This window comes from Homo sapiens, chromosome 2 (genome assembly GCF_000001405.40).
Source record: "Homo sapiens chromosome 2, GRCh38.p14 Primary Assembly".
NCBI classification, from domain to species: domain Eukaryota; kingdom Metazoa; phylum Chordata; class Mammalia; order Primates; family Hominidae; genus Homo; species Homo sapiens.
This window is the reverse complement of record NC_000002.12, coordinates 3,469,136-3,485,305: the sequence shown is the minus strand read 5'-3', so window position 1 is coordinate 3,485,305 and position 16,170 is coordinate 3,469,136. Positions and strand designations below refer to the sequence as shown.

The 16,170-nt window shown below is 51.1% G+C and overlaps 1 protein-coding gene, 1 long non-coding RNA gene and 1 pseudogene across 10 annotated transcripts in view, besides 2 other annotated features; 1 reads left to right on the top strand and 2 right to left on the bottom strand.

Annotated features, from left to right (window-relative positions):
• Positions 1-211: 211 nt before the first annotated feature.
• Positions 212-3,628, bottom strand: LOC112268321 (uncharacterized; annotated as a pseudogene). Its single transcript, XR_004837588.1, has one exon. The product of XR_004837588.1 is annotated as an uncharacterized LOC112268321 (transcript).
• TRAPPC12-AS1 (TRAPPC12 antisense RNA 1) lies at positions 2,053-6,713 on the top strand. The gene is made up of 2 exons (NR_046720.1): positions 2,053-3,160; positions 3,421-6,713. It is a non-coding gene; the product is annotated as a TRAPPC12 antisense RNA 1 (long non-coding RNA).
• Positions 5,741-16,170, bottom strand: part of TRAPPC12 (trafficking protein particle complex subunit 12) — a 99,872-nt gene continuing 89,442 nt past the window's right edge. For 6 of the 8 annotated variants that reach the window (NM_016030.6, XM_011510350.3, NM_001321102.2 and 3 more), the window contains 3 exons: positions 7,511-7,611; positions 6,373-6,460; positions 5,741-6,087 (listed from right to left, as the gene is read on the bottom strand). In NM_016030.6, the coding sequence (NP_057114.5) occupies positions 5,845-6,087; positions 6,373-6,460; positions 7,511-7,611 (432 nt within the window). In that variant the 3' untranslated portion in view covers positions 5,741-5,844. Of the gene's footprint in view, positions 6,088-6,372; positions 6,461-7,510; positions 7,612-16,170 lie in introns of those variants that run through there. The other 2 variants (XR_426956.4, XR_007076381.1) reach the window with 2 other exon arrangements.
• Positions 12,661-13,160: an enhancer, noted in NCBI's record as "H3K4me1 hESC enhancer chr2:3475917-3476416 (GRCh37/hg19 assembly coordinates)". NCBI's record gives its function as "activates a minimal SCP1, AML or CMV promoter by ChIP-STARR-seq in primed H9 embryonic stem cells {active_cell/tissue: H9 hESC(primed)}" and the evidence as "EXISTENCE:reporter gene assay evidence [ECO:0000049][PMID:30033119]".
• Positions 13,161-13,662: an enhancer, noted in NCBI's record as "H3K4me1 hESC enhancer chr2:3475415-3475916 (GRCh37/hg19 assembly coordinates)". NCBI's record gives its function as "activates a minimal SCP1, AML or CMV promoter by ChIP-STARR-seq in primed H9 embryonic stem cells {active_cell/tissue: H9 hESC(primed)}" and the evidence as "EXISTENCE:reporter gene assay evidence [ECO:0000049][PMID:30033119]".

Below are 16,170 nucleotides of genomic sequence, written 5' to 3'. Positions count from 1 at the left end.
CTCAGAGAGCAGCCCTGGTTGCCAGGAACCCAGAGGGCAGAACCCACACTGACCACTAACCATTGGCAAAGCAGCGGCTCCTCTGCAGGGGCTTTTACGTGTTGGTTTCTTTGGCACCATCCAACAGAAACAGAATGGGAGCCACAAATGGGCGCCACATACGTAACTTAAAGTTTTCTAGTAGCCACGTTAAAAATGTTCAAAGGTCATCTTAATTTTAATAATATGTTTTATTTAATCTACTAGATCCAAAATTACTATCATTTTAACAGGTACTCAAAATTATTAATGAGATCTTTTACATTCTTTTAGAAGTGTTTCATAACGTCTCTGCAGCAGCCACATTCCCCATGCTCAGCAGCGGCTCACAGCCTGGATGGCAGTGCGGTGTAGACACTTGAGCTGTGGGCAGGACTCTTCCCAGTCCTCATGGCTGAGCACACAGTGCCGGGCCAGGTGGTGCACGCTGGGGGACCATGGGCCGGGCTGGTCCTGGCTCTGCACTGTCCCTGTGACCCTCGGGATGTTCCTCAGCGTCTTTTGGCGATGGTTCCTTTCCTGTAGGATGCGAGGCTGACAGCATCTGCTGCTAGGAGTTGTGAGGACACGTGAGTTCATTTCAGTTGGGTGCAGCGCCGGCCTAGTAATCTCACTGACCCTTGGTCGCTCAGCCAGTGACTGTGCCCACCTGCCACCATCAGAAGATGGCGGACTTGGGGGTCAGGAGAGCCCTTCCAGGACTGCAGAAGCTGGTCCTTGGGGGTCTCGCAGCAGATCCTGGGGGCGTTCCCAGTATGGGTGCAATGTACATGGGGGGCTCAGGACGGGAGGCCCATGCCAGCCCCTGGGCCTCCAGAGCTGGCAGAAGGCACAGCCCTGCATGGCCAAGGGCGCTGGGCTGCGTGGAGAATGTGCGGGTTCTGTTGTTCTGCCAGCTTAAGCAGTTTACCAAACCAAACAAAAAAAAGGATATGCAACAGGGACAGCATGTGGCCCACGAGGCCTCAAATATTGCCTCTGGCCCTTCACAGAACACGTGTTCTAGAAAGGAAATCCTATGCTCGCGGGCTAGGGGCTTGCTGGGTGGGGAGAGGGGTTCAAAACGTGGTTTGTCACTTCCTATGAGGGTGATCCGACAGGACTTCGTGGAGACGGTGGCGTTTAAGTGGCCTAAGAAGAACTGGAAGGATTCAGAGGAGCGGAGGGACGTGGCCTGGTGGGCAGAAGCCATGGCTGGGTGTCGCAGGCTCTGTGCAGCTCTGACAGCTGCAATGCAGGCAGGCACCCCCCCACCCCATGCTTTACGGCCATCGGGTCTGCAAGTTATAAACTTGGTTACCCCCAGAACGTTGTTTAAACAGTACTGTGTTCTAGAACATGCTGAGATAGCATTTATGCAACTGATGCCAAGGTGTGGAACAGGTTAGTCTGGCTTTTTCCTCAACAATCCAGGAGGAGGACAGGGAGAAGGCAGCATTGCTCCTGAGCGGGTGAGGCCAATTTCATCCTGAGTGATAGTGACAGTAATAACTGATAAGAAATGAAATCACAGCTTTTCACACGCAGAGCCTGACAAATGGCTGACCCTTCCTCCATCTCTGGGTGCTCATGCTGGAGAGCGACGGGCCCTCCCTCCACTGCCGGGGGGGGACGTGCTGGAGAGCGACAGGCCCTACTTCCGATCCTTGGTGCTTTTGCTGGAGAGCAAGGGGCCCTCCCTCCACTCCTTGGTGCACGTGCTGGATAGTGACGGGTCCGCAGTCCACTCCTGGTGCTCCTTCTGGAGTGACAGGCTCTCTCTCCACTCCGTGGTGCACGTGCTGGAGAGTGACGGGCCGGCAGTCCACTCCTCGTGCTCCTGCTGGAGAGCGACAGGCCCTCCCTCCAATCCTTGGTGCTTCTGCTGGAGAGCGACAGGCTCTCCCTCCACTCCTCGGTGTGCGTGCTGGAGAGTGACAGGCCCTCCCTCCACTCCTCATGCTCCTGCTGGAGCGCCGCAGGCCCTCCCTCCACTCGTGCTCCTGCAGGAGAGCGACAGACCCTCCCTCCGGTCTTCGGTGCGCGTGCTGGAGAGCGGCAGGAGCTCGGCCTTCTTAGGGTGTTTGGGACCCCATCCAGCGTGGTTTTGCTTTAGTTCCCCGCCCAGGGAGAGGAGCTCGGCAAGCAGCACCGGGTTTATTCTTGCTCATTTATTCAAAAGAAAGGTACTGAGTTTGAAAATGCACCAAGCACTGGAGAGAAGAGAAAGGTGAAAGGACCTCGGGGCCTGCCTGTAAGAGGCTCAGGATGTGATGTGGCTGGGGATGAGGCCCGGTGGCACCTTCAACGCAGGAGAGGAGGGGGTCTGGATCCCACCGTCAGAGCACGCACGCAACCTGTCCACTCCCTCAGGACTGCAGAAAAGGTCCATTCTTGTATTTCTTTTTAAGTTGAATTAAATCCATCTCTAGCCCCTGCCTCTGAACTGATGGAGTCTGGCTGTCATTGGGCCTCCCTCACCCGCAAGGGGTGGAACCAGAGCTTGGGGCTGAGGCGCTCCTGGAGTGTTTAGCGCCTCTGCTGTCAGGACATCCTGTGGCCACTGGCACGCTGTCTGCCCACACAGTGCCCCCGACCAGCAGCGGAGCCACCCACTCTCCACAGCCAGGGTTGGGAGCCCTGGGGCCCGAGTCCCCGGTCCCACGTGCCACACAAGGCAGGACATTCTGGGTGCTGTCGCATCCCCGGAATCAGGGCCTGGACCCTGGTCAGAGCAGGACCTGCAGGTGACCCCGGGTGGGGCAGACTGTCTTCTGTCCTTGGTGGCAAAGCCGGTGTTCTCGGCGTCATGTCTGCACACGTGTGCCTGAAGCCACGGGAACGCAGGGGCTACCTCTGGGCCTGGGCCTGGACCTGTGGAGCAGGATCGGGGAGGACACACAGGTGGGCGTCTCAAGAACTGTGGTGTACACAGCTGAGCCCCTGCAGCTCTGCTTTGCCGGGCCTCACCCTCGGTGCTGGGTGCAAGACGTGACAAGATGGCATGGGAAGCTTCCCGGGGAACGCTGGAACTGGGTGTTTGAAGGAGGACCTCATGGCGGCAGCTCCAGCCCAAGTACTGCAACTGTGGGGCCGTGCCAGGAGCAGGTGCTGCGGAGCCTGTGTGGGTCCAGGACAAGAGGTAAGGGGAGTGTGGACGGGGCTGCACTGTCCTGGGGTTGAGGGCAGGCTTCAGGGGGTGACACTGAATAGGGACTAGGAAGGTGCATGCCAGGAGGGGTCCAGGCAGAGAGAACAAGTGGGGGCACAATCCTCGAGGGGGCATAGAAGAGGCCAGCAGTGTAAGGCAGGATGGCGATGCCCATGGGCTCCAACGCCTGCTGTGTAACTGGAATTCTGTCTGTGGCCTCCGGCGTCTGACATGCGTTCTCACACCTGCAGGAGCACCAGAAGCTCCTGGAGGGCGGTGCAGACGACACTGTCGGGCCGGCCCAGCCCAGGCCCCAGCAGTTGACTCCTCTGTGATCAGAGGATGTGGCTGAGGATGTGCATTTCCGTCAAGTTCCCAGGAGAACCTGGTGCTGCTGCTTCGGGGACCCCACTTTGAGGACCACTGATCTAACACTGCCCCTCGTGGCAAACGCGGAATGACTCAAGATTCAGCTGGATGGATCATTCAGGGAGCAAATCCACCCTTGCCGCCTGGCACACCCTGGCCATTCGGTAACGATGCCATCAGGGTTACTGGCTTCTTCATTCTCCACTGTGCATTCCAGGGTGGGCATTTCCACAGTTGTGAGCCCATCATCAACTCAGCGAGTTCCCATTTTCCAGTTAGAAAATAAGCTTTCTGATCGTTAGCCATTCACTTCAATTGGCTCTAGAAAAGATTTCTGGGATGTATAATTTATTTTTAACATAAAGAAAAGCTAAGTGTAAACTAGATAAGCTACAATTGTCCCAGACGTTATAGACACTCACAGCACCGTTTTCCTCTTCTAGCAAAACAAAACAAAAAATTCTGCAATCATACAGGCAGTAGGAAAAAAAAATTAGCTGGACACCATGGCTCACACCTGTAACCCCAGCACTTTGGGAGGCCGAGGTGGGAGGATCACTTGAGGCCAGGAGTTAGGGACTGGCCTGGGCAACATAGTGAGATCCCATCTTTATAAAAATAAAAAAAATCTGGGCGTGGTGGAGCACACTTGTGGTCCTAGCTACTCAGGAGGCTGAGAGTGGGGAATCGTTTGATCCCAGGAGGTTGAGGCTGGAGTGAACCATGTTTGCACCACTGCACTTCAGCCTGGATGGATGACAGAGTAAGATCCTGTCTCAAAAAAAAAAAAAAAAAAAAAAACAAAAAAACCAGGAAGAAATAATCCAGGCAAGAAACGAGGCAATGATACTGTCACCTGGCCTGGCCTCATGCCAGCAGCATGGGGGTGGGGCTTGGGAGGGAGGGTGGATTTAGGCTTACCAGCTTACTAGGGAACTTTGATCTCTGTTTCTGATTTGCCGGGCTCATGTCTAGCTGGAGCCTGGGCACTGCTGTCTGCTTTCCCGCACAACTGGCCGGGGACAGCTCTGAGCCCCGAGCCTGTAAAGGACGGGCTCCATAATCCTCTGGCAAATCCTGTAAGATGCCTGCAGTAAGGTGCCAGGTTGGAGCAGAGGAAGAGCCTTACACTTCATCCCTGAAGTCACATTTGAAGGAAGACCCTCAAGGTGGAGGGCTTCTAATTACATCTTCATCTTTCTGGGCTTAACAATAGTTTCAGTTCTCTTTTTGAAGAGAAAGATCTTGAAACCTCCTTGGTGTCCAACAGTCCTTTTGGCTGTCTCACCTCTTTTTTCTTTTCTTTTAATGCATAATTAATCTAGATGTCAGCAAATGGGCTGAGACTGTCTGGTAGATGCAGTGTTTGTATGTTTCTACTCTATTACAAAAATTAACAGAAATATGGCTTCGCTTTGTGCAAATGTTTATATCACAGTCTGTAAAATGAATTATATTTAAAACTATCCACAAAGCTAGATATTTAGAGAACCCTTGGCAGAGTTCTTTCGTAAAGTGAAGACATTTTCAGGTACTTTAAGTTCTTCAAAAGCAGGAATAACTGTGTAAACGTAAGGGCAAAAGGCCTTTCAGGCATGAGAGAACACATGAAAACACGTGTCTGGCTTCAAAACCACCCCCAGCCCCTGCCTGCCTGCGTTTTACGCGCTCTTCCTGTGCTTCATTATGCGTCGTGCTTCCTGTTCCACTCAGCTCACTCTCCACGTGGACGTATAAACTATGGGAGAAACAGTGATGGCCTCTCCTCCACCGCCAGGCTGGCAGGGGTCGTTTGGCTGGCATCAGGCTGGAGGAGACTCGGATGGGTAAGACCAACGCACTTAGTTTTGGGTGTGTGGGGAGGGCAAGAGGAGCATGAGCGGCGATCTGTGGGGGGTGTCTTCCCTGTTGTAAATCTCCCTGTACGTGCAGGTGCACGGCGAGAGGGTCTCCACACCTCCCAGCTTTTCTCTGAGGATGTCCAGAAGGAACGAGCAAAGCAGGATTGGCCTCCAGAACAGAGGCCCCGAGGCTGACTCCAGATTTCCTGTCTACGAGCTGTGTCCTCCCAGCACGCCTGCCCCTTGCATTCATGAACAGTGACCCAGCTGCAGGGACTGCGTGGCTGAACGCCGACCAACTGCGGGGAAGTCCTGGGCTGGGCCGTGGCTTGGGACCAAGAAGACACGCAGCAGACACCAGTGAAGCAGGAGTTTTATTGAGTTCCTCCATGTCACATTAATACATTAGCTTCAAGACACAGTTTCAAAGACCCGGGTCCTTCTGACGTAGTGTGTTGGAGGCAGCTAGGCCAGCTTGAGGCACTGTGTGTTGAAGCTGTCCCCCTCCTTGCCGGCGACAGCCTCCAGCAGGGCCTGTTTCTTCTGCATGCTCCGTGAGGACTCCAGCTCGTACATGGTGGTCAGGTTGAAGAGCACGCTCTCGTGCAGGTAGTGCCTGGGGTCCTGCTGGACCATGGCCTCCAGCTGCCGCAGGGAGTCCTTGAGCTTGCCCAGGTAGAGCAGACACACGGCAGCGTTGTTGTTGGCCTAGGGAGGAGCACACGCCCAGGGTTGGCCCACACAACCAGGACAGACGCCCGCCCATTCCAGGCTGCGTGCTGGGCCGTGTTAGGGGCCTGGGGGTGGTGCAGAGCTGCTGGGCAGAGCCTAGGTGGCCCTGTTGGGTCACTTCCCCTAAGGGCCACAGCCACTGCCTGGAGCTGGTGGACTGGAGAGAGAGAGCGCAGGCCCCTGCTGAGACGTGTGTGGGTGTATGTTTCTAGCGTCTGTGAAAGGCAGAGGATGGAGGATCCTGCAGCTTGGGGATCTTACCACTGCGTTTCTTGGATCCATCCTTAAGATCTCTGTGAAGAACCTGTGGGCTTCTGCAAAGTTATTCTGCCCGAGGTGAAGGAACGCGCTGTAACACAAGCAACGGTGGCAGTTAGCGGGGAAAGCCCAGGAGCTGCTGTCCCCCAACACAACCCACAGGGGCTTTGGATCCCACAGAGACCCAGCGTATGGCCCTGTGTGGCCCGGGGTTCCTGATCTCCAGGTAGAGGCGGTGAGCTGCGTTTTGCATTCAGGCTCGCACATTAAAGCCACTCTAGTTTTTATTTATTTTTATTTTTTAGATGGAGTTTTGCTCTCGTTGCCCAGGCTGTAGTGCAGTGGCACGATCTCGGCTCACCGCAACCTCCGCCTCCTGGATTCAAGCAACTCTCCTGCCTCAGCCTCCCAAGTAGCTGGGATTACAGGCGACTGCCACCACGCCTGGCTAATTTTTTGTATTTTTAGTAGAGATGGGGTTTCACCATGTTGGCCAGGCTGGCCTCAAACTCCTGACCTCAAGTGATCTACGTGCCTCAGCTTCCCAAAGTGCTGAGATTACAGGCATGAGCCACTGCACCCGGCCAAGCCACTCTAGTTTTTGTTAATTGAGATAGAGTAACTTCACCTAAATGACTTCCTGCTAAAAGCGGACACCTGCTTTATTTACGCTTTCTGATCCTGGCTGCAGGCTTTGTCCAAGGCGTGTTTCCTCCTCACGAACGTGCACTCGCACGACGCTGTGCGTTCTACCACAGAACACCAGAGCACGGGATCCAGACACAGAACACCAGAGCACGGGATCCAGACACAGAACACCAGAGCACAGGATCCAGAACGGCCGCTACGCCAGCAATGGTGACCTTTACACACACATACGCTGAAAACGGGGGCAATACAAGCGCTTCTCTGAAGAACAAGGGGGAATAGCTCCTTAAAAATCAGCTTCTGTGACTAAAAGAACATCACTGCGATTCAAGAAAACACCTGTATACTCCTTGGGTCTCCGCTCTGAGAGACACAGGGCAAGAGGAGATACAGGGAGAAGCGCCTTCTCTAGGGAGCTTTCCAACTCAGTAAGTGGGGCTTGAACGCCTCTGGGAAATTTGAGAAAACATATATTTAGTTTTAAAATATTTACCTGTTCATCAAAACCATGATTTTACCCTGTAGTCCATCTAATTTCTGTGTTACTTTCTCAACGTCTTGAAAATACTTTTCAGCTGTTTTTATGTCTCCAATCTGCTTTGACAAAATTTAGTCAGTTTAGTTGACAAAAGAAATATTAAGTCTATACTCATATATTTAGTTCCCTAATATCATGTTAGAATATGAAGACATTTATATGTCAGGCAGAGGAAAACTTCAGTAACCATTTAATCATTTTTTAATAAAAAGGCAAAAGACATTTAAGATACAGTGGAATGTTAATGTTCTATATGTCAGAAACTAAGTTGCTAATATACACGCCTTATTTAAGAGTCTTATAGTTTAGTAATTTTTACCTTTTGGAATGAATTCTGGCAGAGCATTAGATAAAATAAAATGAATAACTAATAAGATGAAACATAAAATACTTAAAATATTGGTATAATATGAGCAGGTCCTACGTCAACTTATGAGTTACTTGTGGCTAGTAAAATGGTAGGTGCCACCACATTTGCAAATTGCAAAGTAATATTTTGACCAAATAATATAGAATTCAACTGTAAAAAACAAGCCAAACCAAACTCAAACCCACTCTTATCACGCATGTCAGGAAACCCACCGGCTGCCCGACTGAAATGCAGCCGGATGCAGCAGGCCTGTGGCAGAGGAGGCCTGGGGGGTGGAAGGCTGAGTGCCCCAGCCCTGACTCCTGAGGCCACAGCTTGGTTTTACAAAGGCAGACTTGGGTTTTCTTTCACCTCTAGAAGTGTAAGGAAGGGAATAAATGATCTAAGGCTTACAATAAGAAATAGATACAAATGAAAGAAAAGTCCTATTATGGCCCAAGCCGCGCTCACGAGGGTAAAGACAGAGTTGCTTTGTGTCCGGGGCACAGCCTGCGGGAGCCAGAATGTGACAGCGAGCTCTGTTATCATGGCAGCAGCAGAAACTTAACAGAATGCTGTCCTCTGTCTCGATGAGAAACAAGCTGAATGCGCGCGGCTCACCTCCATGAGGAGGGCTGGGGCACCCATCACTATCATACTGAGCAGCCTAGTTAACTCTTAGACTGTCCACGCCAAGCATCTGTCCAGCATTAAAACAAGCCTGCTAACTTCTCAGATGACTGGTGGGGAGATGGTTCTCCATGGGTGTCATGTTTCTGCATGTCTTCCAAGCACAGACAGTGACAAGGCTTTGTTCAAAGCATTTACACAAGGATGCCTGTTTAGAGGACAGCCTTGTAAGCTAAACTGCATCCCTCTGGGGCAAAGGGCAGGCAGGCTCGCCTCCCAGTAGCAAGGATTTGGGTGTTCTAAGTTCAGGATTCCTCTCCAGCCACACAGCCCACTGCAGGCCTCATGAGGCCCTCGGTGAAGACCCTGAGGAATCAGGGCCCCGTGGCTGGTGGGAAGAATGCCACTCTGGCTGTACTGCTGTTGCTGTGTAATAAATAGCCTTCCTCTCTAACGTAGGAATCTTACATTTTTTGCCAGCATCCATGAAAGTGGCAGCTAACTCCACAGCTTGGAAACAGGATAACATCTCAGGCCCTTCACAACTGTTGCTGTTATCCCACAAAAGAAATACCATACGAGGAGGAAGAAAAAACAGAATGAAACAAGAGAAAACACAGGCGTGCACACACACCACACACTGAATGGCATCTGTCCATCGCTGCCCGTCGTCTGCACAGTCCGAAGCCGTTTGAAGTCCACTACTATCGATTTCCCACTTGCGGACTAAAAAGAAACCGAAGGCAGCATGGGCTCCGTGACGCGGCCCTCAGCTCGAACGCCTGCATCTCCTGTCTAACAGGACCGTGTGAGACACTGAACTGAAGATGATTACAGCCCATCATCAAGACCGATCAAGATTAACGTGTGCCGGCGGCCGTGGCAAGCGCTTACAAGCACAGCTCGCCTGACCCTCGCGACAGCCTGGGATGCAGATGCTGTCGCTAGCTTCGCTTTCTAGATGAAGTCGTCGGGCTTGGAAAGATGAGACAATTTTCTGAGGTCACACAGCTAACACAGAACACTGTGGTCAACACCCAGGCTGTCCAACGCCCAGACCGTGTGCTGATCCTCCGCACTGCAAGGCCTCCTGAGGCTGGCATGGGACTTTACTCAATGTCTCAGAGGAAGATAACAGAGAAATCTTGGGATATTCTTTGCTACCCACTGACTTTCCTGATGATTAGAAAGTAACTTGACATTTTCAGAATTATTAAAATGTAATTAGGATACAAAATCCTACCGATTTCTAAAAGTTAGGAGCAACTGAAAAAATTAAACATAAAAATGCAATTAAAAGTATTCCAGAATATGTAGAAAACAAATCAGTAAAAGACACTATTAAAAAGGAAATACAGTGGCTGGGCATGGTGGCTCACACCTGTAATCTCAGCCCTTTGGGAGGCCGAGGTGGGAGGATCGCTGAATTTCAGGAGTTCAAGACCAGACCGGGCAACAAAGTGAGACCTTGTCTCCATTAAAAAAGAAAAGAAAATTAGCCAGGTGTGGCTGTAAGCACCAGGTGTGGCCGTAAGCACTGTGGTCCCCAGCTACATGAGAGGCTAAGGCAGGTGAATCTCTTGAGCCCAGGAGTTCTGCAGTGAATCATACCTGTGCCACTGCACTCCAGCCTGGCAGACAGAGCAAGATCCTGTCTCACAAAGAAAAAGACAAAAAACAGTGTATAAACTAATCCAGAAAAAGGAAGCATAAACAGAAATGTAAAAGTAGAAATAGCTACAGGCAGAACAAGGAAATGGAAATAATGGTAAGAGCACTGTCTTTTACTCTGTGCGAATCCACGAGAAAACAGGGACCAAACAGGTGGCTTTCTAGAAAACTCTCAGTTACCAAAATGGTTCCCAGAAACACAGAAAAATCCTCAGGCACACAACACTAAGGCAGATTCATAATAATAAATTAGGAAAAGCACACAGCACACCTCATGTGCTCAGCAAAGGCAATTCTTAGGTGAATACTCAAACCTTCAGGGAATAGATCATTCCACATTACTCAAGTTTTCCAGAGAGAGAGAAAGCAAGCTTCTAACTTATATGAAGACAGAAAACAGCCACCATATCCTTTTGAGATGTCACCTGTGCACACGCAAACCAGATACTAACATCACTTATAAACGCAGAAACCCGGGGAAACGCCGCCCTGGAGCTCCGACCTTAAGAGCAACACATGGTCAGTGTTTCCGTGGCAGAAACTGGAACTGTGCGCTGGGTCTGGCCCTCCCCTCCTTGGGCGCTGTCAAGGTTAATACTGAGTGTCAATTTAATTGAAGGATGCAAAGTATTGATCCTGGGTGTGTCTGTGAGGGTGTTGCCAAAGGAGATGAACACTTGAGTCAGTGGGCTGGGGGAGGCCGACCCGCCCTTAATCTGGGTAGGCACCATCTCTTCAGCTGCCATCACAGCCAGAATAAAGCAGGCAGAAGTTGGAAAGAGCAGACTTGCCGAGGTTCTGGGACTTGGACTGGCTTCCTTGCTCCTCAGCTATTGTGGGACCTCACCTTGTGATCGAGAGTCAATTCTCCTAATAAACTCCCCTTCATAGATTCATCTATTCTATGAGTCCTGTCCCTCTAGAGAGCCCCAACTAATACAGGCACTGAGGGGTGGGGGAGAGCTCCAGTTCTCAGCTCCTTCACCTGCTTCTCTGTCACAGTTTTGGGATTCCTCATCACCTTGGTGGCACGGAAGCCATTACAGATGGGCAATGGCCATTTTAAAGTGTTCTCAAGGCGGAGTGTCCTGCAGTCCATGGCTGTGAGCTGTTGACTGGAGAGGAAGGCAAGAATGATTCTTCTCTGTGGTGTGGGAGTCAGATGATTTTAAACCATCCAAAGACAGAACAGCTATGTTAACAGCCACATAGGTTGCTAGATGATATTAAATCTGTAGTCAGCTAGAAAACCCAGTTCTTTTCATATTTACCACTGATCAACTTTAGTCACAGAAGCATAGGTCTGCAATTGATACAGAAAACTCATTTCAGCTGGGCCCAGTGGCTCATGCCTGTAATCCCAGCACTTTGGGAGGCAGAGGCAGGAGGATTGCTTGAGGCCAGGAGTTTGAGACCAGCCTGGGCAACATGGCAAGACCCCCTCTCTACAAAAAACTTAGCTGGGCATGGTGGTGCATTCCTGTTCCCAGCTACTCGGGAGGCTGAGGCGGGAGGATTGCTTGAGCCCAGGAGGTCAAGGCTGCAGTGAGCTGCATTTGCGCCTCTGCACTCCAGTGTGGGTGACAGAGCGAGGCCTCGTCTCAAAAACAGACAAAAAAACCCACCAGAAAAACCCTACCCAAAAACCAACACGGAAAACTTTAGTCTAAATTTTTATGTTATAAAACATTCTTGTATTTTAAAGCTTATCAGAAAAACTGTTCCATTCCAACTGGGCAAATCCCCCCAGGCTAATGTACATAAACGAATAAAAGAAAGATGCGATCTATTTCAGAGTACCCTAGCTTCTCTTCCATGTTTTTCTTGAGTTCTCCTTCACCAGCTCCTCTTCCCGTCCCGGCGTGAGCACAGCAGAGCCGGCCCCAGGGGTGCTCTCCTTTCCCCTGACCCCCCCTCACCTGCTCTCTCTGCAGAACCCGAGGGCCTGCTGGGAACCAGGCAGGCTGTCAATGCATAAATTAGGCTGCATCCGTGCAGAAGCCTCCTCTACCAGACAAGCTTGACCTTGCCTTCCTTCTCTGTCCTTGTAGAATCCAGTGTGAGCAAGAATCCTGCTAAGTCAGTTTAAGAAAAGTCCCCGCCCTCGGTGTCTTAGCACCTGGAGATCCTACCACCCTGGCCGGCTGTCAGCAACGATCCTATCAAGTCTGCTTGGCCAGAAACCCCTTCTTGAAGCTTCCTCTGGGTGATTTTCCAACCAGGGACGCTGACCCTGACCCTGGTCCCTGGTTGTCAGTTCCCACCTGTCCTCCGTGAAGTCAGAGTTGAGTCCAGTCTCTCCCCTGCTGCATGCTAGTGCCATGAATCGTTTTTAATTTAGCAGCTGTAAGAGTTCTTCATATATTCTGGATGTAAGTCTCTTATCAGATACGGGATTTGCAAGCAATGTCTCCCATGCCATAGGTTGTCTTTTTACTTTTTCTTTATGGTGTCCTTTAAAGCACAACAGTTTTTAGTTTTGGTGAAATCCCACTTACCTACATTTTCTTTTTGCTTGCACTTCGGTGTCACATCAGCATGATGAGGCCTCACAGGGTGGCAGGGGCTGGAGGACGCTCTCCCCACTCTTTCCCTGACTGTAGCCAGCACACTCCACGGCTCAGGCTGGCAGCCAGAAGTCAGTCTCTTCTTTTTCTATTTGAAGGTCTCTGTTGAGCTATGGCTGATGTACAGGAACCTGCATGTCTTCAGATCGTACAACCTGAGGGATGCTGGTACGTGGCTGTGTGCGTAAAACCACCCTCCTCGTCGAGACGGTCAAGGTGCCCGCACCCCTCCTGGAGCCTGGGGTCGTGCCCCTCTGTAAAACGTGCTCAAGTCTTTCCCAGCTTCACAGCGCTTCCCTGGCCCTTCCTTCCCTTCTTCCACCTCAGCGTCTCCCCACCCTGCCCTGGGTTCCTGCTCTCTGGGAACTCGGTCAGAGGTGACCTTGGTTCTTGCTGAGGTCCTCTCAGCCATAGCGGTGAGTGGTCCTGCATCCCGTCCCCCTTCGTCCTGCCTGGGGTGGCTGGTTTATCCCAACTTCCCACCACTCCTGCAGTGGCTGAGGCTTTCTCCTGCCTGATCACCTTGGGCTCTGACCTTTGGTCCAGGACACCGAGGCCTAGGACTGGCCACAGACACTGCAGAACCACCCTGCGCTCAGCTGCCCCAATGCCAAGCACAGGCCCCTCGTCTGTGCTTGGCTGCTGGACTTGCACCTGCGCACCACAGCTACTTTCCCAGTCCAAGTGAGGATCCTCTCAGACCCAAGTCCAAGTGAGGACCCTCTCAGTCCCAAGTCCCAGTGAGGACCCTCTAAGACCCAAGTCAAGAGATTCTGAGGTGGAATCTAAGTTGGAGTGAAGTAATTCTAAGAAGTATGAATATAATGCTTCTTCTGTTTGAAGATCAGTTGCTTCTGCCCCTCCTTAATTTAGATTATGTGAGAAACTCCTCTGGAATACAAATGACTTCAATCTTGCTTACAACACAGATTTCCTTCAGAACTGGAAATTCCCACTGGGCCCCATTCTCTCTCCTCCTAACCCCCAGCCCCCTTGCTGTGTGGAGGCCCTGGTGCTCTAAAGGAGGCTCTGTGTGATGAAGATGAAGGGACTGTGGAAATGATCACAGCAGGCATGTGAGTTTTGAAACACGGCTGTCACCTGTCTGGCGGGTGCGCTGACAGTTGGCAGGGAACGTGGCTATGATAGTTCTGCCTGCGGGACGAGGCCGAGGGGGGAGATGGATCCTCCCTTATATGCAGGCATTAAACCCCAAGTACAATTCTGTAATTTGAGCCAGGGTTTCCAGCTGGAATGTGAACAGCACACAAACCGAACAGGTGACCCTTTGCTCAGTGCCCAGAATTATGCTATGAATTTCTTGGAAAGAATAAGGATTGCTATTCAAAAGTAGAATACGTTTTGAAATATTAAAATTGAAAGTCAGCTCCTCGGAGGCCTAACACAAAGTGAGGGCATCTGTGCCATCCTTGTATTCGCCAGTGTATCTTCTCGTGTGACCGGGCAACTGTTGGTGTGGTCAGTGAGTGAGCTTCCTATTTTTAGCTCGCATATTTCAGAGGCACCTACATTCAATGCAAAATTTTAAACACAAAGAGGAGGTGCGGTGACAGTGTTCTCAGCCCAACTGTGTGGAATCATCTAGAACCTTGCTGTCCGTCCACCCCTTTCACCTCTGTCCGGCTGGGTCATCTCTGGAGTTAGCATGGTTCCTTTATAGCACGTTTTCCCAAAGGTGTCTGCATATTTTGTTTTAGCAAAATCATTTTTTTCTATTTCCACTCTTTAGAATTAAAATGGAAAATACTTCCTTTTTGATTAGTGTTTGCATTTCAGTGCTCTTGTTCAAATTTTCCCAAGCTCAGAAAAGGAAGGTGGCTGTATGTATCTTTCTCAGACTCTGCTACACACACTCACACACAAACAGAAGAGAAAGCTGAGGGTGGAGGTGTTCGGCCCACTCTTTTGCCAAGTATTAGATGACCTAAACATTCAGAAATGTTTGAGGTTGCTCTGTGTTACTGATTTGGCGACGGCACTGGTGGAGGCAGGATTGGTCTGTTGTCCATGAGAAGATTCACACTGCAGTGCCCACTATCAGCTGAGAGGGTGATCAGGACACAGTGCAGAGAGTCCAGCAGGAACAGGGCGGACAGCACGCAGTGCAGGCCATCGTTTGCCGGGGCTGCGAACCACGCACAGCAGCGCCCTGGGACGCTGGCCTGGAAGAATGGCCTTTTGGCGTGGGTCCCTGGGGAGGGGCACGTCAGCTTCCTTGTGGAACAGGGTGTTCTTAGGAGCTGGAAATCTGCCTTCTCCGCAGAGAAGCTCTGCTTGTGCTCCCTCCTCGCTAGGGTTGACCCGGAAAACCACAGTTCTTGCAGTAGTGCCAGGGCGTGAGCAGAATGGGCCCAGCTATGTGGGTCCCTCTGCCTTTGTGCTTTGCCAAGCGTTTCCCTACCTGCTGGGGACATTTCCTAGCTTTCTCCCCGAGACTCAGCATCGACGCGATGCCCACCTCATCTCCCACCTTCAATGCTGATGAAACCCAAATCCTCCCTGGTCTGGAGATAACATTCAAGATTGTAGAAAATGCCGAGCCTCCCTTGTATCTCCATGCACATAAGAGTAGAAACTAATCTCAGAGAAACGAAATCAATCTTATTCCACGCGCGTTTAGCTTTGTGTTACATGACTTCAGATGTTACAATGTGATTTGTAAGGGATGCTCATGACTGCTGCTGGCCCTGCCTTCCCCGATTCTGTCCATTTCCCACCTGTCAGGGGTCCTTTCAAGGAGGAACCAGGAGGCCTACATTCCTACTCTTGCAGGAGGGGCAACCCCGCAGCCTGGGCCCCCAGAGAGATGCACGCACATAAGGTGACATGGCCTGAGGAGGCAGCGGAAGCAGGAGGCCGTGTGGGGGACCTGGGTCTGCAGGGTGGGGACAAGACTCTGAGATGCCAGGCAGAGCTGGCAGTGCTATTCTTGCTGGAGGGGCCTGTGACGTGCTACGGCATCCTGGCTTTGTGGCTCTAGAATGGCCTGTCTCTGGGCCCTCATGAAGATTCCCTGTACTACTGTCCGTGAATAAACTTTTTCTGCTTATAGCAGCCACTGCGGATTCCACTGACTGCAACCAAAACCTCGTCCCGTACTTTCTAAGCACCTGCAGTATTATTTTACCATTTGAGGGACAGTTACTAATATACGTATTTCTTATGAAATTTACCCCTCTGACAGCACAGCACACAGGTGCTGACAGTGCATGTGATACTTCTTTGCTTCCGTAGTGGCACCAACTCATTTCAGAATGGCTCACACACAGCCAGTTTAGAGACCGTATAATTAAGATACAGGTACTGATGAGGTGCTTCAGGGAGAAGAACACTGCAAGAGCTGGAAAACACACGTGCTTTCTTGAAAGTGACTTCTC